This window comes from Homo sapiens, chromosome 4 (genome assembly GCF_000001405.40).
Source record: "Homo sapiens chromosome 4, GRCh38.p14 Primary Assembly".
Lineage (NCBI taxonomy): Eukaryota > Metazoa > Chordata > Mammalia > Primates > Hominidae > Homo > Homo sapiens.
Window position 1 is genome coordinate 149,526,398 of NC_000004.12, and position 23,622 is coordinate 149,550,019.

At 34.2% G+C, this 23,622-nt stretch overlaps 1 protein-coding gene across 16 annotated transcripts in view; it reads right to left on the reverse strand.

Moving 5' to 3' along the window:
• The window catches only part of IQCM (IQ motif containing M), a 464,135-nt gene that overhangs the window by 174,689 nt on the left and 265,824 nt on the right, over positions 1 to 23,622 (reverse strand). For 15 of the 16 annotated variants that reach the window (NM_001378180.1, XM_017008904.3, NM_001363507.2 and 12 more), the window contains one exon: positions 22,058 to 22,192. In NM_001378180.1, the coding sequence (NP_001365109.1) occupies positions 22,058 to 22,192 (135 nt within the window). Of the gene's footprint in view, positions 1 to 15,685; positions 15,745 to 22,057; positions 22,193 to 23,622 lie in introns of those variants that run through there. The other variant, XM_011532456.4, reaches the window with a different exon arrangement.

Genomic DNA, 23,622 nt, shown 5'->3' on the forward strand with positions numbered 1-23,622 from the left:
GCATATATAAGCAAGAAGAAGAGCACTGAATATTTTTTAATTTTACAAAAATATATTATTTATATCATCAAAAAAGTTCTTTTCACTGTGAAAAATTTCAAAGAGCTATAAAAATGTAAAAAATGGCTCCTCAAATAATTTGCAGCCTGCTTACATTACACAAATGGAAATTTAATCTAGACAAATGAAACCTACTTGTCTGTGCAATCATCATGACAGATTAATCCATGTTTAATGTATAAATATACTATAATGATAAAATGCTCTCAACAGAACTAAAATGAGCTGATATTGTTTTTGACAATGAACAAATGTGTAAATAGTAAAACTAGAAAGTTCTATGAAAAAATATTTTATGGCAATATTTTAAATATGTAAACTGTGAATGCAACATATTACTATCCAGAATTTAAAAAATTACCTTGCATAATTTTTATTTTGTTGTTGTTTCCTATATATTTTGCTTATTAATGAATGTTTTATTCCATTTTAAGGAAATAATTTATTACAAAAATTTTTAAATAATATATTCCATTATTTATTTTTATAGCCTCTTGGAAAAGTAATAATATATAGTCAGTTTACAGGACATTTACAGATCAGTACAGCAAGAGGAATTCTAGTTACATGCCAAAATACTTTCCTATCTGACTCCTGGAATTATTATCTCAGCGAGAACTAACGGGAATCAGCATATCAACTTGCTATAAAAATATCATGATTATCGTTCCCATAAACTATCAAGCACTAAACTAAGCATGGTGCTGGCCACACATACCAAAGCAGATTTAATAGTTGAATCTTTTTCACAAGAATAAGAAAGACTAAGGATATGAAGTGACTACTATTTATGAACCTGAAGATGTGTTGCTTTATATGTGACATGTATTTCCCTCTTATTATGGATTAAATGTTTGTGCCTTTCCCCAAATTCATATGTTGACACTTCAACCCCCAATGTGATAGTATTAGCAGGTGGCTTTTGGGAGGTAATTAAGTTTAAATTAAGTCATGAGGATGGCACCTAACAAGAGCTCTTCCTTCTGCCATGTGAGGATGCAGCAAGAAGGCTGCCATCTGCAAGTCAGGAAGAGAGTCCTCACCAGACACTGAATTTGGCAGCCCCTTGATCTTGAACTTCCCAGTTTCCAGAACTGTGAGAAATATATATTTATTGTTTAAGCCACCCACGCTATAGTATTTTGTTAAAGCAGCCTGAGCGGAGTAAGATACCTGTTGAATTTCAGTATGTATTATTCTAATTTACACAGGAGTTAATAAGGTTCCAAAAGAGAAACTTGCCCAAGATTATACAGCTAGTTTGTGGTGGAACCAAAATTAAAATAAGTTATATTTCACTCAAGTCTTTTTGCTTCTCCCATGCCATGCTGTGTTAAAGTAAACACAGCCATGCAGCAATATGAAGAAAAAAGTGATTTTCTGAGACAATGTTCAAAGAATAATGCCACTTTCCTTTCCCTGACATCAGCAATCGACTCAAGAACAGTATTTCTTCCTAGTCATCTTGTACATAATAGGTACTTAATGATGCTGCTTGGATATCTTCATGAGAGATTTATCTTGTTTTTTGTTTTTTTTTTTTTTTGAGACTGAGTTTTGCTCTATCGCCCAGGCTGGAGTGCAGTGGCATGATCTTTGCTCACTGCAACCTCCACCTCCTGCGTTCAAGTGATTCTCGTGCCGCAGCCTCCTGAGTAGCTGGGATTACAGGCACCTGGCCCCACACCTGGCTAATTTTTGTATTTTTATTAGAGATGGGGTTTCACCACGTTGGCCATGCTGGTCTTGAACTACTGACCTCAGACGATCCACCCACCTTGGCCTCCCAAAGTGCTGGGATTACAGGCGTGAGCCACCACACCCAGCCTATCTTGATTTTTAAATAGAATACTCAGTTGTCTCAACTGAGGCACCATGTAGAACCCAAAAAGCTTCACAGCTTAACATTTTGTCAATCATCACTTATCAATTCTTTGAGTTAAGGCATTAAAATATTTTATAAAATTACATATCTGCTACATGGCAAGGATAGTATTATGCACCCATGACTATCTCATCAGATATTACTACATAACATAGGTAATCTCAAATTCTGAAAAGATGAGGTAAAATGTAATCATCCAATTGCCTTGGAGAGCTCTGAAGAAGTGGCTCATGGGAGAATCAAATGTTTGAAGTAGGAGAGTAAATTAGGAAAGAATAAGCCTGAGGAATTGAGGTAACAGAACATGGCAATGAGGATTCTGGGTACAGAAAATGAGTATAAAAGTGTGAACATTGATGGAGGACTCCCCAAGACAAATTTCTCACATGCCACAGTTTGTCTCAGGCTAGTTTAAATGCTCAGTAGATGGTACTTCTGACCATCAGTTAACTTGACAGACAGTGTACCTTGCACTATAGAAGCTCTCTGAGGTATGAATGGCATTCTGCTTGAGATGAAGCTTACAGGAGCAAAAGGAAGAATTTTTTTTGCATAAGAAGTAAAAGTATTTTTATTCTGCTGCACTAAAGGGTCTTCATTAAATAATATACTCCTTTAATAAGTGAAAAAGTAGCAATAAAGCAAAAGTAAAGGAATTGAGCACAGAGACATAATATTTAATGAGCAAAGTTTATTATGAAAAGCAAATATTACTGGGTAGGAAAATATATATATATATGAGACAGAGTCTCACTCCATCACTCAGGCTGGAGAGCAGTAGCACAATCTCAGCTCACTGCAACCTCAGCCTCCTGGGTTCAAGCAATTCTCCCGCTTCGGCCTCCCAAGTAGCTGGGATTACAAGCACACACCACAACAGCCAGCTAATTTTTGTATTTTTAGTAGAGATGGGATTTCAGCCATTTTGGCCAGGCTGATCTCAAACTCCTGACCTCAAGTGATCTGCGGGCCTTGGCCTCCCAAAGTGCTGGGATTACAGGCGTGAGCCACCACACCCAACCAGAAGAATACGTTTTAAAAGGAAGGTTTTTGTCATTCCAAATATTCTGGTTTTGAGTTATTATATTTTACTTCCCTTGGGTTGGCGACATATTTTTCTCATAAAACCATAAAGGTCTCATCCCATTTCAGGCTTTCATTGGCATTGACCAACAGTGTTTTCCTACAGGCCATATGCTAGGCTACAGGGATTTTGCCAAATCTTTGAATAAAGATTTGCACTATTACCAAAAGTCTACAACTCTACAGAGAATATCTCTAACATAGTCCAGTTTTCAGTTGCAAGGATTCCAAAGGTTATAAAATGCTCCTCTTGAGAGGTTCCTGAATCCATCATTCTCATCATACCCTGTAAACCCACTTAACTGAGCTTTCCCACTCTCTTACAGGTCCAGTGGCAATAGCTTCCCAGCCAATTCTTCATGCTTCCTCTTTTGGGCCCCACAGCCCATTCACATGAAAGTCATGCCACTCTTTCATAATATAAGTCATATGAAGTCTCCATCATATTTACAATAAAATCCAAAGTATTTAATGTTGCCTTCAAGATACTCTATGACCTAGTTCTTGGCGACTGCTCCACTGTTGTTTCCTTTCACCACCTGCCTTGATCCATCTGTTCCAGCTACACTGGCTTTCTTGCTGTCTCTCATTATCCACTCCTGCCTTAGGACTTGATCCTTCCCACAGTCATCAGCATGGTTCCCTCCCTCACTTCCTTATGGTCCCTGCTCAAACACCATGGTATTCCAAACAATTATTCTGATCACCCCAAAGAAAAATGTCCCCATCTTGCTCTCTATCTTCTTACCTTGCTTTAGTTTTCTTCATAGAACTTATCACTGATTTGACATATAAATATATATGTGTGTATGTGTATATATACACATAAAATATATAAAATTTATATGTATACATATATATAATTCCCTCTCCAGTACAATGTAAGCTTCAGGAGGGCAGGAAATTTGCTTTATTCATACTGTACCCATGGAACCTTGAAGAACATACAACATATAAGATGCTCAATAAATATTTGTTGAATTAGTGAATGGGAGAGAAAACTCTATGTATCTATGGGAACAACCAGGAAAGCAATCTCTGTGTATCCAAGAGAGGATACAGAATTGACACATAGACTAAGTTACTGGAACATAAAAGTAGTTTTGAAATATATTAGTCCTGAGACAGTATCATGGCAAAGGGACTGGAAATAGATTAAATCCCAAATTCTTAATTAAATCTATTTAGTTTCTCTTCATGTTGTACTTTACCACTGATAGTTACCACTAGGGGCCTGATTCAGATAAGACAGTCACAGAGATTTTATTTCTAGGTAGAAAGAACAAAGAAAAGGCTAACACCTTATCCAATGAAGATATATCTAGCTATCATGTTACCTACACCTGCATACTCAGACACAGACACCCCCACCCCCCCACCCCCCCCCCACATACACACACTAATTGCGTTCAGTTAACATCATAGCCTATTTTAAACCATAAAATCTCCAGGTAGAGAAATAGAGAGGCACAGATTCCTAAAAATGTATGGGCTACTTTGTTTTATGTTCTATATGCACAATTATCACATTTATTTTCTGAGGAGTGGTGGGCTAACAAAAACTGGAACTTATTTGCAAGGATGTTTTGGAAATACTTTTAAGAAAAACTTCCATACTTCATGTATATATTCAATATAATTAGACAATACTGGGATTCATGTGAAAAAGTTTTACTCAGGAGCAGAAATGATAGAGTAAGTTATAACTGTGTCTACATGATAAATTTACTATATTGATTGTATGATAAGATTCTATGAAGAACTATTTGATTCATTCTCTTTGTTATATGCGTAAACTCATCCCTTAAAAAGTGACATGAGTTTTACCTCTTAAGCATCTGTATGGTACGCCAGTTCTGAGTAAACTCCTTTCTAATTCCTTTCAAATGGCAAGAAATTATGGTAACAAGATAAACATTTGAGAAGATATTTTTCTCTATTTTTGTAAACTCTGTATGTTTCAACCTAAAAAAGTTCAAAACTACTGTAACCCTCACTCATTGTTTGCTTCCTTCTTTCCTCCCTGCATTCTTTCCCTCCTTATTCCCTCTCTTTTTCCAACTGCAACTTCCTTCTCTTTCTCCTTCCCTTCTTTCCTTCAACAAATATTTATCAAGCTTTTTTAAAATGTGTGAATCCTGAGCATACAAAAAGGCATAAGATAATGACCAGGTGCTTATAGTCTAGTATGTAAAAGAGGAAAAAGCATAATTTCAATGCATTTATCACCAGCAACTGTTATAAATATGTAGAAATTTCTTGGATGTAAACTGGCAGCCATCAGTTTTTAAAATTAGTTATATGTAGCACTAGCACAACTGAGCCCCTCAGAGGAGACTGCATACTAGTTACCATTCTGTTTTACTTTTATTTTAACAATTAGAATAATGATCTTTTTAATATTTAAACATTTTCTGTGATTAAACTGTCCATTTCTCCTGACTCATAACAGACACTGGCCTGGTACTGTTTGTTAACTTTCTTATGAACATATTGTTTATAGTAGGTGTCTTATTAATGTAAGTGGTCATTGAAGGCTCATTCTTGGCCACATAAGAGGGTAGCTTTGCCTGACACGAGGGCCAGCTCCACTATCACCTCATGTATCTGAATCCTAATCTTATTTAATCCCCTCCCAGCTTTCACTTTTGTTGGGTGACTCATGCTTGGCCGGCTCTGCAAGTGTGTCCTAAGTTCACAACATCATAGCAGAAAATAATGCAAGTGTTCCTGTATAGATACAGTCTCGGTATACATGAAAGTTGTTTTCACCTTAGAAAGCTCAAAAACAATATACAAACTAATAAATATAAGAGCAGCAATATGTCTTTTACCTAGTATACAAAGGCAATGCTGGTATGATGCCAGGGTCCATTAGGGATTCTCAGTGCCTACCAGGAGACACATTGGCAAGAGACCTACAAGAGATTCCATGTTTGAAATAATATTTCCCAAGAATCACACAGAATACTCATGAATAAGAAAGTATTACCTGGGAAATACTACAGGATCTCCACAAGCTTTCCTGAAAAAGAGTTTTGGAAAGTTCTGAGAGGAGCATGCTTTTTCTGAAGGATAATTATCTTTTTTTTTTTTTTTTTGTCCCAAGACAAGAAAAAAAAAGAGACTGAATCATTTCTTTTTATCACTAGAGGACTATGTGGGGGCATATACTACCTCTTTACAATTTTTTCCTACACTACTAATTTTAAAGGAAAGTATGAAAGATTTTCCTTTCATGTTTCTTAGCTTAGTATGGGCATGTGGCCTTCAATCTGCTGTGGCTGGTGACACCATCTCTTCCCTCCTTTCTACAAACAAGGTTCTATTTTATGAACTGGGTATTAGCAGTGAACATGCAAGGTATGGCCCCTGCCACACTGGAAATCAACAGGCTAGTAGAGGGAGATGGACCATAAACAAATACAGAGAAACATGTGTAATATAATCTCAAGTAGTAATAAGTGGAATGAAAGAAAATAAATATTAAGGTAATGAAGCAAAGATGGAGGGCAGAGGTCAGTGGGAAGACAGCAGGCTATTTTAGAGAGAAAAGTCAGGAAGGGGCTTTATGAGTAACTGATATTGAAGCTGAGACATGAGTCAAACTCTTACAAAGGGAGCCATGAGGGAAGAAAATTTTAAATAGAAGAAACAGCAAATGCAAGTAATTTAGTGTATTTAAAAAGTCAAGTTATCAGCCTAATTATAGTACAGTGAGCAAAAATGAGAGGAATAGGAGCTGAAGTCAGAAAGGTAGAAAATGTGTCATTTGTTAATGTTTATTCTACATGTGATAGGAAGGATTGAGAGAATTTTTATATTTTCATTTTGAAGTATTTCTGACATATAAAAAAGAAATAAAGAAATAAATAAGCATCTCTGTATCTAGCGCCTGACTTAAGAAAACATATAAGAGAACTGAATCTCCTTCATTTCCCAACAGCAACAGACAACTAAGGTTCTTAGAAATAAGTATAAAAAGGGATCCATAAGTTCTTTATAGAGAATTTTTAAAAGGCCTTTAAAAAATACAAAAGAAAACTTAAGTAAGTAGATAGCCTATTTGTATTGGACTGTTCTCACGCTGCTGACAAAGACATACCCGAGACTGGGTACATAAAGAAATAGAAGCTTAATGGACTCACAATTCCACATGGACAGGGAAGCCTCACAGTCATGGCAGAAGGCAAAGGAGGAGCAAAGGCACATCTTACATGGCAGCAGGCAAAGAGAAGTCCAGAATGAAGGTGAGGGAAAGCCCCTTATACAGTCATAAGCTCTCATGAGAACTCACTATCATGAGAACAGCATGGAGGTAAATGCCCCCATGATTCAATTACCTCCCACTGAATCCCTCCCATCACATGTGGGGATTATGGGAATTACAGTTGAAGATGAGATTTGGGTGGGGACACAGCCAAACCACAACACTATTGTTAAATAGCAAGATTTAATAGAAAAAAAGAAATCCATTCTCTACAAACTATCTTAATATGAACTGCACTTTTCATGGAACTAGAGAGACTAATTCTCACATTTATATACAATGAAAAAGTCCAAGAATGATAATATATCTGGCAGGGAAATTCTACTGCTTTATTTGTCTTTAGAATTTTAGACAGTGACAGTGATGTTATATTGATTATCCTTTAATCCATTCAAATCTATTTCTTACTTTAAAAATCTAGGTACCTTAACTTTCTTAGAATCAACTTATTTGGCACTCACTTTACAATTTATTTAAACACATAAATAGGTTATGAGACCTTGGTTAAGAGCCACTAAATATTGGTTTAATGTTAAATGTAAATCTTAATGCTAGAAAATGCACACTATAAATTGTAGGTGTACATTCAATTTTGTGCCTTTTTTGATTAGTATTATGAATTAAACTCCACAAGAAAGAGAAAGAGATTGTTCTGATATCTGCCTTTATTATAGGAAGTTGTTAATGCCGATAGGCATTACTATTGATGCACATGCTATGCAAATACGCTTGTATGGGTGTATCTGTGTTTACTTCAAAAGATGACAAGTGCATATGAAGAAGTATATGAAAATCATGTCCTCTATATCCAAACCACTGAACAACATCAGCCAAAAGGATGTTTGGACCCTCATCATGCTAAAATTATATACACAGTGGTATATAAGGAATCATTGACGAGAATATTTTGAAAGAATAAAAACTCAACAGTTTTATGGTAGGAACATGAGATATTTATATTAATCCCTGAAAAACTATGCCAAAAAATTTACTCCATAAACATCTCCTTTTATAAGTCAGCATGGTTTATAAAAGATATAACTACACCGCTGTATTCCATGTTGATTTCAATATGAAAACTGAATTTTAAATTTTGGAAATCAAAATACCAAAATGAAACTCTTATGGACCAATCATGGCTCTAGAGGTAACCTTTTTAAAAAAAGGAAGCTTTTAGCATAAACAATTGGCTTACGTTCTGCCAAACTGGCAGCTCCTAGTAAGAGGCTTGCTTTTACAAATCTGAATCATAAGCTTTCAATTCAATACCACTAATAATTTATATCGTGCATGACAGGCTTCACAGCATGGAAGCATCATGTTGCCTTATTGAGCAATGCATAATGTATAATAAAAGCTTGATTCAGAAAAGCTAGAAAAATGTTCATTACTAAATATGACTTAAACAAACTGAGTGAGAACTACAAAACATTATGACAGTAAAGGACTAAAAACTACCTTAAGTCCTTTGGAAGTTTTCACTTTACTGTAGCAATTTATAGGACTCTGCATCAAGATAAATGCCAGAAAAAATAAAAATATCCTTAATACTATGTTTACGATGTTGGAATAATTATATTAATTAAAAGTTTGCATATTTTAACAGCTTGTATTCAAGAATTTACGATACAGTATTTTATATTCATGTTCCTTTCATGTATCAGAGACTTGTATGGCTAAGTTTTTCTCATCAGGGAGTTTATATTCCTGGTATTATAGTAATTTAATCATATAAAACAAAGACTTGCTAGTGGCTCTCCGCATGTTACGAGTACTGGGTGTATAATCTTAATAAACAGAGATCTAACAAAAGGAACCAAAAGTCCTGCTCTCTAACAGACTTATGAAAGTAATTATACCTTTATTGAAGTTACACCATTCTAAAGCCCCCGCTGTTCCTGCTGTTTCTTAAAGATGGTTATTTTCTACTTAAAGAAAACAGACACACTTTAGAAGAATAACTCTTGTTAAGTAATATTACAGAATTTAATCAGATTCTCTATGCAGCTTACATAACAATGGCACAAATATATCAAACCAAATAATAAGAGTCAAAGGTTTAAAAAATACAGAATGGCAAATTAGAGTAACTTACTAATTGGAGTAACAACTCACATGACTGTAGGGTAAGACAGGAAAGTGGAGGGGAAGAAAAAGCCTTTCACTAGCCATGATGATTCCCAGAGGCTTTAATAGGCTTTACACAGCTATTGCTAGGGTGAAAGCAGGCATTAACAGAGTTAAATAATGTAAGATGAGACCATATGTCAAGAACCATCTTTAAAAAGTGCTAGGGAAGAGAGCAGGCAGAATTGTAGGAACAGCTGCCTAGATTAGGTAGCTAAAGCAAGGTGATGATAAGACAAATCTTTCAGGGTTGCTCTTTGCCCTTAGAGTTTGGTTTCTTGTTTATCCAAAGGTATTCAGCTCTAGGGAAAAGGGTTTAAAAAGCTTCTACTGACAATATTGATTTATTTCCAAAATCTAATTTGCATTGTATATTTGAAAACATCCATTTACAGTAGGCAGATGATAGGTAAATAACAAACTGAAAACAATAGAATCCCATGGGGAAAAGCAATCACAATTCACTAGACCTAAATAAATGATCAGACGTATTTTAGTCAGCAGTTTTAGTAGCATGGCTCCCTCTCCAGGTACCCACCCCACAGACACAGACTTTCCCCTATTCACTGTTACCAGCTATCCTGGAAATTCTAATCTGCTTTGCACATTATCTCTCTTCTATGTGTTAAACCTTTGCTTTTATTTTCTTATCTAGTTAACTCATCTTACAATGATTAACTCAAATCCTACCCTCTATCTAAGGAACATATAATTAATACTATATCATCTTAGCACTTGATACATGTGTGAATGTCTAAGCATTTGTAACATTGTATGCATGTAGTTATATGTTTGTATGTCTCTCCAGTTATTATGGAGAGTCTGAAATATTTGAACCACATTACTTTTCACAGCACATATTAAGTGTTCAAAATATATTATACTTGTTAATTATATTTACAAACAATTTCATCCAAAAAGACTCTGGATTGCTTCAACCAAGGAAGGTATCCATTAGTATGTTCTCATGAATTTCCTTTCACTTTTTGATTTATTCTTTAAATTATTAACCAGAAAATAGAATGTACTTTTATCTCTCAGATGGGTGAAAGCAATAAAGAATACCTACTAAATATCAGAAAAGTGGCAGCCTGCTACACAAAAGTTGTCGACACCACTGCCCAAAACCTTTACATAAGTAAATCCTGGAGCAGGCCATAATGGAAAAGGGAGAATCCATAGTTGTAACAACAAAGTATCTAAAATTTCCAGTGCTCAACAATAACAACAACAAAATGAGACATGCCAAGAAATGGAAAAGAGTGACCCATACTTATATGAAAAGGAGGTACTAAAAATTGACTCTGAATGAACTCAGAGGTTAGATTTAACAGACAAAGAACTCAAAGATACTATTATAAACATGTTCAAATAATTATTATACATTATATTTAAAGAATTAAAGAAAAATGTGATAATATTAAAATAGAGATTATAAAGATAAATAGAATCAATAAAATGAACTAAACGTATTCTAGAGTTGAAAAATACAGTAATGAAATAAGAAAAATTACAAAATGATCTCAGCCACAGATTTGAAAAGGCAGAAGAAAGAAATAGTGAATTTGAAGGCAGATTAATAGCTATTATCCAATTTGAACAACCAAAGAAAGAAAGATGTAAAAATAAACAGCACCAGAGACTTGTGGGAAAACTTTAAGTGTACTAACATAAGTATAATGAGAGTTAGCAAAGGAAAGGAGAGAGAAGGAAAAGTGAAGAAAAATATATTGGCTGAAAATTGCCAAATTTGATGAAAAACATTAATCTAAAAGTCCAAGAAGTTCAATGAACCCCAAGTATGATAAACAAACATGAAGTGATCACTTGTAAACAAACCATAGACAAAATGTTGAAAGACAAAGGCAAAGAGATACTCTTGAAAGAAGAAAGAGAAAATGCCTCATCATACACAAGATAACAAAAATAAGATTAATGACTGATTTCCCATCAGAATCAATGGTAGGCAGAAGGCAGTAGAAGGATATATTCAAAATGCTGACTGAAAAATAAAAAATTGGCAACCAAGAATTCTATATCCAGCAAAAATATTCAAGAATAAAGGTGATAAAGACATTTCCAGACATAAAGACATTAAATGAATACACTGCCAGAGACCTGCTGAAAGAAAAAGACACCAGATGGTAACTCATATCCAGAGAAATAATGAAGAGCAAAGGAAATCGTAAATGTATTTATATATATATGAATATATATATACATTTGCAATATACATTTGCAGATATCTTTTATACACTTATATATGTTAGTTTTATATATATAACAGTATAAAAGATATCTGCAAATGTCTTCTCTTAACTCCTTTCAAAAGTATATTATTACATAAAACATAATTATAAAACTATATTGCTAGGCTTATAAATTTCATATGTTATACATATGACAGTAACAACACAAAGGAGGAGGGATGACAGGAAGCTGTATTGAAGCAAAGTGACTACGTTTAACTGGAATTATTTTAGCATTTATCTAAAAATATTGGAATAAATTAAAATGTATATTGCAACACCTAGAGCAACCACTAAGAAAATAATTATTAAAATATACTTTAAAAATTCCTGGTATGATTATAATGGTACACTAAAAGTATACATACAAAATGCAAAAGAAGGAAGTAAAGGAGGAACACGGGGACAAAGGAGACGTGAATCATATACAAAATAAATAGTAAAATGACAGACATAAATGTAGCATATCAATTATTGTACCAAATATGAATGAACTAAAGACTCCAATCAAACAGACTACATTTTTAAAAGATCAAACTCTATGCTCTCTATAAGAAAACACTTTATATTCAAATTTGCAAATAGGCTGAAAGAAAATAAACTATAGACCAAAAAGTAAGAGCTAAGTCATTAAAATACTTGGAAAAATCATAGAAGAAAAACCTTTATCTTATTACAAGCAAAAACTTCTTAGATATAACACCACAAGCATACCCCAGAAAAGAAAAAAAGAAACTGATGAATTAGACTTCATAAAAATTAAAAACCTTTGCTTTTCAGGAATGCCATTAAGAAAATAAAAATATATTCCACAGCCTGGGGAAAAAAAATGCTTGCAAATTATATATCTGATAAAGAATTTGTACCCAGAATAGAAAGACGTTAATAATTTAATAATAAGAAAATAAAGCTCTTGATTGAAACAATATGCAAAAGTTCTGAATAGGCTTCTCTATAGAAGATAAATAAAAATGTCTAGTAAAAGATGCTCAGCATCATTCATTATTAGAGAAATGCAAATTAAAACCACAATGAGATCTTCATAGTAACATTATTCATAACAAAAAGGTGGAAACAACCCAAATGTCCATCAACTAATGAGTAGATAAACAAAATGTGGCATATTTATACAAAGAAATCTCATTCAGCAATAAGAAAGAATATAGTACTTAAAATATGTTACAACATGGATGAACTTCAAAAATATTGTTGAAAAAAGCCAGTCATAGTAGACTACATATTGCATGATTCTATTTATGAGAAATGACAAATCTATAGAGACAGAAGGCTGTCTAGTCGTTGTCTGGGGCTGGGGGTAAGAGTAGGGATTAGCTGCAAATGGGCACAAAATGATGTTTTGAGGTTATGAAAATCTTTAAATTTAATCTAACATGCTTATGGTTGTACACCAATGCACATTTACTAAAAATCATTTAACTGAATCCTTACAATGGGTGAATTTTTTAAGATGTAAATTATAACTCAATTGAGATGTTAAAAAATAAAAAGAGAATTGGCCAGGAGTGGTGGCTCATGCCTGTAATCCCAGTAGGCCAAGGCAGACAGATCGTCTGAGGTCAGGAGTTTGAGACCAGGCTGGCCAACATGGTGAAACCCCGTCTCTACTAAAAGAAATACAAAAATCTAGCTGGGCATTATTGTGGGCACCTGTAATCCTAGCTATTCGGGAGGCTGAGGAAGGAAAATCTCTTGAAACCAGGAGGTGGGGGTTGCAGTGAGCCAAGATGGCACCACTGCACTCCAGCCTGGGCAACAGAGCAAGACTTCATCTCAAAAAATAAAATAAAATAAAAAGAGAATCTTTATTGCATCCTGATTAAATTGACTAATAAGTGCCAATAAGTCCAATGGATATCCCAGGTGTTATAGACTGAATTGTGTCTCCTCCCAAAATTAACCTGTTAAGCAACTTTAACCTGTAATGCAACTTTATTTGGAGATATGACCTTTAAAGAAGGCATTAAAGTTAAATGAGGTCATAAGGGTAGGGCCCTACTTCAACACGACAGGAGTCCCTATAAAACTGAAGAGATACTGAGGTGAGCATGCCCAGAAGAAAGGCCATGTGAGGACACAGCAACAAAACAAGCCCAGAAAAGAGGCCTTAAGGGAAACCAAATCAGCCAACACCTTGATCTTAGACTCCTAATGTTTAGAACTACGAGACACTAAATTGTCATAGAACTACAAGACACTAAAGTGATCTAGTATGTGGGATTGCAATGAACTAACTACCAGGAAGTGCCAAAGTTGACAGCTAATATTGCAGATCATCTGAACCCCACAAGCTATGTCACTACCTAACAGACAATAGACTTCATATTGTATGATTCTATTTACAAGAAATTTTTGGAAATGGCAAATCTATAGAGACAAAAAGCAGATCAGTGGTTGGTTGGGGCTGATAGTAGCAATAGAGATTGACTGTCGTCCACTCTGATTTAACAAAAACCTCAGAAAAATAGAATGAAAAGTCAAATTGCCTGAAATTAAATCTTATGCATGAAGCCTGAAAATAAAAAGTAAGTCTTAAACAGTGAGCTTGTGAGCTGCGATTTGCACCAGCAACATATGTATAATGTGATCCTATTTTTATTCTATTAATGAAGAAGATAAATTGCCAAACACATTTAACCAAATGTTAATGGAGGAACTTATAAGATCCTTATAAGAACTGACTACCTATTCTGATCCCTAGTCAGGAGCCTCACGCCATTCTCAAACATAAAGTTGCCAGTGTTCTTCATTTCACCTTTTATTTTTAGGGTGTATTTTCAAAATGTGTTACAATAAGGATGTGTCAAATTTCAATTTTAGAAGTTATTTAAAATAAGGCTACTCTAACATGTTACCTCTGATACGTCTTCATTCTTTTGCCATCAGAATTTTTCAGTCTTAAATTTTTTCTAATCTAAAGTCCTCTATTTTTAAAATGTCCTTTTAAATCCCTTCCTAGATAATTAAACTTTACGATTAGAGTGCCTGTTCATGTGAAAAACTTTTAAGAGAAAATCACTATATGTTTCCCATCTAATAACAAAAAGCTATATATTGGTAAAGGAGCAGAAAATGCAGCATTGTTGGTTTGTGGTGGACAAAGCTGTGGTCTGAGGAACAGGAGGCTCAGGAAATAGTTACAGTTTGCCACTAACTAGTCAGAAAACCTAAAATGATTCATGTAATATCTCAGGTTATAATTTGTTCAGATGCATAGGATATTTCAGGTTAAACAGAATATAAGTACCTTTCATGTTTTTTAAGATTTTTGTCTAGGGCTCCTCACTAAAAATGAACTTATCATCGTTGTTGAGTTTTTTTGATTATCTTAATTGCAGAAAATGAACTAAAAGTTCTATTTACATGTTGGAAAAATAGGGGAAAACCTTCAAAGTTCACATTTCTAAAGACTAGACAGAAGTATAAGTAGATAATATACACCCACAATTTATTATTTTCTTTACTTTTTGATATGCTCTTCTCTTATTATTAGTTTCATTTACTGGAATTTAAATGAATATCAAGTAATGGTTTTCATGTTTGCATATTCTGCAGCTTTTAAGATCGGCCTACAAATGTAGCCTGAAGTTGCTTCATTCTCCCAAAGTAAGATTTTTAGACAAAAATCATGTCCTCAGTCACAAATTTTTTTGTTACCATAGTGATAAGAATAAAGAATGAAAAAAAAAGAGCTAAAAATAACTGAAGACAGTTTTAGAACTGTGACCCACTTGGTGTCGTACACTAAAGTAGTTAATCAATTGAATTAGTTACATATGCGCTCAGGTGAAATATTCTACTGGATGAAAAAATGCGTAGGTTGCACATCTGGAGCTATTATACACAATCAAAGAAGTCAGTATGAATGAAGATGATAGACAATCTAAAATGCATAAAATCAAATTCTTTTAAGAATAGAATATATACCAGAAGCAAATAGGAATCCATTAATTTAGCTCCTTTTTGTATCAATTTTCTGTTGTCTTTTCATTATTTTAGAATATCTCCTCCATTTTAAATTAAATCTTCTTATGCATCAAAAAGTGTTGTAGCTGGATGGAGCAATATAATTAGACATATATTTAAAATTACATTGGAGTGGCCCCTTTCTGTAAAGGAAAGTTTCCCAATCTTATGCATTATAATAAAAATATGCTTTTAAATTAACTTTTCTTTTGAAAATTTTAGTTTAAATAAGAATCTTAACAGACACAATCATTTACAGAAAAATCTAACATATTGCAAGGCATTAAGCTAGCCTGGGAAACATGAACAGGCAGCTCTTGCTATCAAGAATGTTTTAATCATCCATCTAATTATGTTTTTATAACACTGATTTTTAAAATGTCTGCACATAGTAGAATGGAAAAAGCATTCACCTTAACTTGAAGAGAGCAAAATTAAAGTTCCAGCTCTATCAATGAGCTTAGAAAAGTCTCTTTCTAAGCCTCAGTTCTCCCATCCATAAAATATGTATAAACGAGCATATCCCCTCCTCTAGCATATAGATCATTATGATAATCGAAAGGGATGATATGGGTAGAAACCAACTGATGACATTCAGTATAAAATCTCTGTTAAAATGAGTCATTATACAATTTTGTTTAATATTTAAACATTTTCAAAATGAAGATAATTATAGAAGTTTATTTTCATAATTAAGAATATGTAAGAATTATTTATGAATAATAGCAAACTTTTATTGTGCACTTACAATGGACCACATATTTTACATAATTATTTCATTTAAGCCTCATAACAGTCCAGTGACTTAGATATTATCTTCCTTTTACAGCTGAAAAAAGTGGGGTATAGAAGGAATAAATAACTTGTCCAAAGACAGCTAGAAAGTGGTAGAGCAGGGAATTAAGCCCAGGCAAGCTAACCCCAGAGCCATGCTCTAAATCTAAGCCATTATGATATACTCTAAAATAATGAGTAGAGAAAAATACCCCTATGAAACTGTTAATTTGAAAAAAAAATACATATTCTAAATTACTAACACTAGTCATATATGTTTTTTAACTACTTGATTAGTTATATTTGGCTGCATTTAATTTTTTAATTTTATTATTATAAGAAAAATGAAAACAACTTAAATGTATAACAATAAATACATTATAGAACATCCATATGGCAGATTACTACTCTGTCAAAAATAACACTGTAAAACTTATTTATAGCTTTGAAACTGATAAGTATTGTTAAAAACAATATATTCAAACTATATGTGGAAAATCTGGATTTTCATAAAATAATGTCATATTGACAGAAAAACTTAGATAAATAGTAAATGTTAACAATTGCCCCTTCCTGTGTCCATGTGTTCTCATTGTTCAATTCCCACCTATGAGTGAGAATATGCGGTGTTTGGTTTTTTGTTCTTGCGATAGTTTACTGAGAATGATGATTTCCGATTTCATCCATGTCCCTACAAAGGACATGAACTCATCATTTTTTATGGCTGCATAGTATTCCATGGTGTATATGTGTGGGGTGGGGGGAGGGGAGAGGGATAGCATTGGGAGATATACCTAATGCTAGATGACAAGTTAGTGGGTGCAGCGCACCAGCATGGCACATGTATACATATGTAACTAACCTGCACATTGTGCACAGGTACCCTAAAACTTAAAGTATAATAATAATAGAAATAAAAAAAGTGAAAAAAAAACAATTGCTATTTCTTCAAAATTTTATGTATTTCTATATTTTCCAAATTTTCTATAATAAAACATTAAATACTTTTGTCATTAAAAGTCACTTAAACAACCTAAACTGAAGCACAAAGTGATGTAGATGCTTCTACAAATAGGTGAACAAATATTTATCAAAGTCTAAAAAATTGTTCCAGGTACTAGGATATAGCAGTGGCAAAACAAAGTCCATAGGTAAAGAATTGTTTAAATTTGCACTAAGAATGAAAGAAGAGAACTCCAAACATACAATGAAGCATCCATCTTTACATTCTGATTTACTCACACCTTTGTACTAGTATGTGAGCCCTTTCTTTAGATTAAAAAAAAGATCCTGAAATGTTTGTTTCACTTCCTTACCATCTCTTCTCAATTACTTTGTGGTGACATTATCTCTAAACACAGTAGAAAGCCAGAGCATGAGTATATAAATAGAAAGAAAAGCTAACAAACAAAAATCAGTTGCATTTCTCTACATTAACAAAAAATTATCTGAAAAAGAAATTAAGAAAACAATCCCCCTTGCAATCGCATCAAAGAAAATACAATATTTAGTAATAAATTTAACCCAAGAGGTTAAAGATCTGTACCCTGAAAACCATAAGACACTGATGAAATAAATTGAAGACACAAATAATTGAAAAGGTATATTGTGTTCATGAATTAGACTTTATATTGTTAATATGCCTATACTACCAAAATGATCTATTGATTCAATGCAATCCCTATCAAAATTCCGATGGCATTTTATAAAAACCAAACCTAAATTACATGAAACTATAAAAGTTCCTGAAAAGCTAAATAAACCTTGAGAAAGAAAAACAAAGCTAGTGGCAACACATTTCCTGATTTCAACCTATATTAAAAAGCTATTGTATTCAAAACAGTATGATACAGGCATAAAAACGGACAAATAGACCAATGGAATAGAATAGAGAGCCAAGAAATAAACCCATGCATTTATATGCAACTAATTTGTGGCAAGGGTGACAAGAATACGCAATAGGGAAAGGATAGTTTTTACAATAAATGGTGTTGGGCAAACTTGATGACCACATGCAAAAGAATAAAATCGGACGTTTATTTAACACCATATTTAAAAATTAACTTGACATGGATTAAAGACTTAAATGTAAAGTCTGAAGCCACAAAACTTCTAGAAGAAAACAGGGGAAAAACACTGTGAAGGCAATCTTGGCTATGGTTTTTTTTAGTATGACCCCAAAAGCACAGGTGACAGAAGCAAAAACAAACAAACAAACAAAAAACAGTTGGGCACAGTGGCATGTGCCTGTAGTCCCAGCCACTTGGGAGGTTGAAGCAGGAGGATCACTTGAGACCAGGAGTCCAAAACTAGCCTAAGCAACTTAGATCCCAGTTTCTATCATAAAAAAATAAAAATAATTTTTAAAAAACGAGCGGGACTACCTCAAACTAAAATGCTTATGCACAACAGAGGAAACACAATCAACAAAATGAAAAGAGAACCTGTAGAATGGGAGAAAATATTTGCAAACCATATGTCTGATAAAGGATTAATATCCAAAATAAATGATAAAGATACAACTTAATAGCAAAAATCCCAAAATAACTCAATTCAAAAATGGCCAACAAACCTCAATAAACATTTTTCCAAAGAAAATATGCAAGGGGCCAACAGGTAGATGATCATCAGGGAAATGCAAGTCAAAACAACAGTGAGCTATTACCTCACACCTAGTATGATAGCTATTATTAAAAAGACAAGAGATAGCAGGTATTGGTGAAGAGGTGGAGAAAATGGAATCTTTGTACATTGTTGGTAGAATATAGATTGGTACACCCATTATGTAAAATATTATGGAATTTCCTTAAACAATTAAAAATAGAACTACCATAAGATCCAACAATCCTACTACTGGGTATATATCCAAATAAATGAAATCAGTTTGTTAAAGAGATAGCTGTACCTATATTGCAGCATATTCACAATAGCCAAGATAAGAAAGCAACCTAAGTGCCTGTCAACAAATGAATGGAAAAAAAAAGTGGTATTTTTTTTTTATTATTATACTTTAAGTTCTAGGGTACATGTGCACAACGTGAAGGTTTGTCACATATGTATACATACGCCATGTTGGTGTGCTGCACCCGTTAACTCGTCCTTTACATTAGGTATATCTCCTAATGCTATTCCTCCCCACTCCCCCGACCCCACGACAGGCCCCAGTGTGTGATGTTCCCCACCCTGTGTCCAAGTGTTCTCATTGTTCAATTCCCACCTATGAGTGAGAACATGCGGTGTTTGGTTTTTTGTCCTTGTGATAGTTTGCTAAGAATGATGGTTTCCAGCTTCAACCATGTCCCTACAAAGGACATGAACTCATCTTTTTTATGGCTGCATAGTATTCCATGGTGTATATGTGCCACATTTTCTTAATCCAGTCTATCATTGATGGACACTTGGGTTGCTTCCAAGTCTTTGCTATTGTGAATAGTGCCACAATAAACATACATGTGCATGTGTCTTTATAGCAGCATGATTTATAATCCTTTGGGTATATATACCCAGTAATGGGATGGCTGGGTCAAATGGTATTTCTAGTTCTAGATCCCTGAGGAATCGCCACACTGTCTTCCACAATGGTTGAACTAGTTTACAGTCCCACCAACAGTGTAAAAGTGTTACTATTTCTCCACATCCTCTCCAGCACCTGCTGTTTCCTGACATTTTAATGATTGCCATTCTAACTGGTGTCAGATGGTATCTCATTGTGGTTTTGATATGCATTTCTCTGATGGCCAGTGATGACAAACATTTTTTCAAGTGTCTTTTGGCTGCAGAAATGTCTTCTTTTGAGAAGTGTCTGCTCATATCCTTTGCCCACTTTTTGATGGGGTTGTTTGTTTTTTTCTTGTAAGTTTGTTGGAGTTCTTTGTAGATTCTGGATATTAGCCCTTTGTCAGAGGAGTAAATTGCAAAAATTTTCTCCCATTCTGTAGGTTGTCTGTTCACTCTGATGGTAGTTTCTTTTGCTGTGCAGAAGCTCTTTAGTTTAATTAGATCCCATTTGTCAATTTTGGCTTTTGTTGCCATTGCTTTTGGTGTTTTAGACATGAAGTCCTTGCCCATGCCTATGTCCTGAATGGTATTGCCTAGGTTTTCTTCTAGTGTTTTTATGGTTTTAGGTCTAACATTTAAGTCTTTAATCCATCTTGAATTAATTTTTGTATAAGGTGTAAGGAAGGGATCCAGTTTCAGCTTTCTACATATGGCTAGCCAGTTTACCCAGCACCATTTATTAAATAGGGAATCCTTTCCCCATTTCTTGTTTTTGTCAGGTTTGTCAAAGATCAGATGGTTGTAGATGTGTGGTATTATTTCTGAGGGCTCTGTTCTGTTCCATTGGTCTATATCTCTGTTTTGGTACCAGTACCATGCTGTTTTGGTTACTGTAGCCTTGTAGCATAGTTTGAAGTCAGGTAGCATGATGCCTCCAGCTTTGTTAAAAAGTGGTATTATACACAATGGACTGGTATTCAGTCTTTAAAAATAAGGCAATTTTGTCATTTGTCACAATAAAGATGAACTTGGAAGACATTATGTTAAGTTAAATAAGCCAGATATGGAAACACAAATACTGTGTAGTCTCACTTATATGGGAAATCTATAAAAGTTGATATAAAAGCATAGAGTTGGATGGCAGTTGCCAGGGCTGAGGGTTGGAGGCAATTAAGGAGATGTTGGTCAAAACATACAAACTTTTTGTCTTTCAGTTTGAAAGACAAATAAGTTCTGGGGATCTAATGTACAGCATGGTGACTGTCGTTAATACTGTATTGATTACCTGAAATTAGCTAGGAGAAGAGTTCTTATGTGTCCTCACCACACACTCACACTTACATACACAAACAGTGACTATGAATGGTGATGGATATATTGATTAATTTGATTGTAGTAGTCATTACACAATGCATATGTATCCCAAATCATCATATTACATCTTTAATATAAACCATTTTAATTTGTCAATTATACTTTGACAAAGCTGGGGAAAAAAGAAAGAAAAGCTGAAAAGAATCTTAAAATATTAAAGGAAAATTCATTGAGATGTTTTCATACTTTTGTGACAATTTACATCCCCTTATTAGTCTTTAGAGAGAAATCTTGCTCAATTTAAATTATTAAATATTCTCATAAACAATATTTTTCATGTATTATTCAGAAAAGAAATGATTTTCTGTGAAAGTCTATTATATTGAAATAGCTTACAATGTTTATACATTTTAACTTGACCGTGTTCTCCAATACCAAATCTAACTATCCAGGAGAAAGCCTCCTAGCATCAGTATTTAAAATATGATAGTTTAAAATATACTCAGCTTGATGTAACTTATTTTATATCCAAAAATACTTAAAAACTATAAAAATGAAAACCACCTCTTCCATCTTCCTCCAAAAAAACCTGTATTGTATTAACTTCTTTTAACCTACTTTTCAAATATTTTCCTTCACAAATATTAAGATCAGATGCAAAGAAATTTGAGGGAAAGCACTTACACAAAAAGTTTAGTAAAAGTAAGGGAAGGAATGAAGAAAGGAAGAGAACAACTAAGGAAAGTTGGGAAAGAGAAAAGAAAGAAGTTGAAAGGAAAAGAAGGGGGGAAAAAGAAATGAGAAACTACTCACCTTGATGGACCAGGTCCCAAGTATCATCAACTTGTTTCTGAGTTGGGAAATGACCACAGTCACTGAAGAAATTGGGGAGCTCATTTCTTTCAATTTTTGGCCAATCTTCCCTCTTAGCAAACATTATTTCATAGACTAAAAGGACAAAAATGTAAAAGAAAATATTTTTTTAAACAATACATCAAGTAAAAACTTTAACTCTAGCTTTATTTTCCTGTCTACCAGTAAGTCTCCATGATTAGTCTAGCACTATATCAACCTTCTGGCAAAGGTTAGAAGGAAGTGGGCATGTTTCTCTCTCCTCACATTCCGCAGTAGTGAAATTTTTACTTGATTCCCCAAGATGAATACTGGCATCTTCTATACTGACTTCATGATAATTGACCATAAATCCTATAATGTCAACTCAACCATGTCATAAGACATAGTTTTTATGACAGGACTTCTGAGGACCTGACACCTACTGATCCATTTCACTCTTCATTGTTTATTAGCTGCTCTACTTTTTTCATCTGTTGTTGGCTTTTACTCACATTCTAACTACTTAAAAATTGGTAATTCCACTTTGGATGGCTTATTCTGTTTCTAAAGTTGGCCCCTAATTGGGAGCAATGTCTACTTTTTGCTCACTAACTTCATGTATTTCTACTTTCATATTTAAGATACTTTGTCACTCCTGGCTCAAGACTACCACAGAAAACCACTCAGTTGGGCCACCTATCACTTATCTCCCATACTTGACTTTAGAAAGGAGTTAGATAATGAGCAAGAAAATTGATGGCCGGGCGCGGTGGCTCACGCCTGTAATCCCAGCACTTTGGGAGGCCGAGGCGGGCGGATCACGAGGTCAGGAGATCGAGACCATCCCGGCTAAAACGGTGAAACCCCGTCTCTACTAAAAATACAAAAAAAAATTAGCCGGGCGTAGTGGCGGGCGCCTGTAGTCCCAGCTACTTGGGAGGCTGAGGCAGGAGAATGGCGTGAACCCGGGAGGCGGAACTTGCAGTGAGCCGAGATCCCGCCACTGCACTCCAGCCTGGGCGACAGAGCGAGACTCCGTCTCAAAAAAAAAGAAAATTGATGCATACATTTTATAAGTATAGTTTTCCATAAATAATTTCTTTTTTTCTCTTTTCAAAAAAGTGACACTGAGTTTCTACTTTGAAATATGTTACATTTAACCCCATGAATTGTATAATTGTATCCTGTAAATGTTGATTGTGTAAGTCAACATTTATAGGATGTCAGGGACTGCTCAAATACAGGTTTAGCTCTGGCTGCCAATGGCAAAAGGCACCAAAGTGGTTTCTAACAGAAGTTATATCATCCTGGCACTCAACCACATGGATTTCAGTTTTTCTATTCATTCATTCATTTAGCTGAGGGAGATAGCTATGAGACATCAACAGATTCAAGACATATTTAGTGATTGTCTAAATATGAATAGCTATTTGAGATCCTAAAACACAGCAGTAAAATAAATGAAAATGTATATTTAGTGTATTTATGGCTATTTGTCTCTTTTGAAATAAGCAAACTAGAGCAGTTTCTTTCAGTGCCCCATC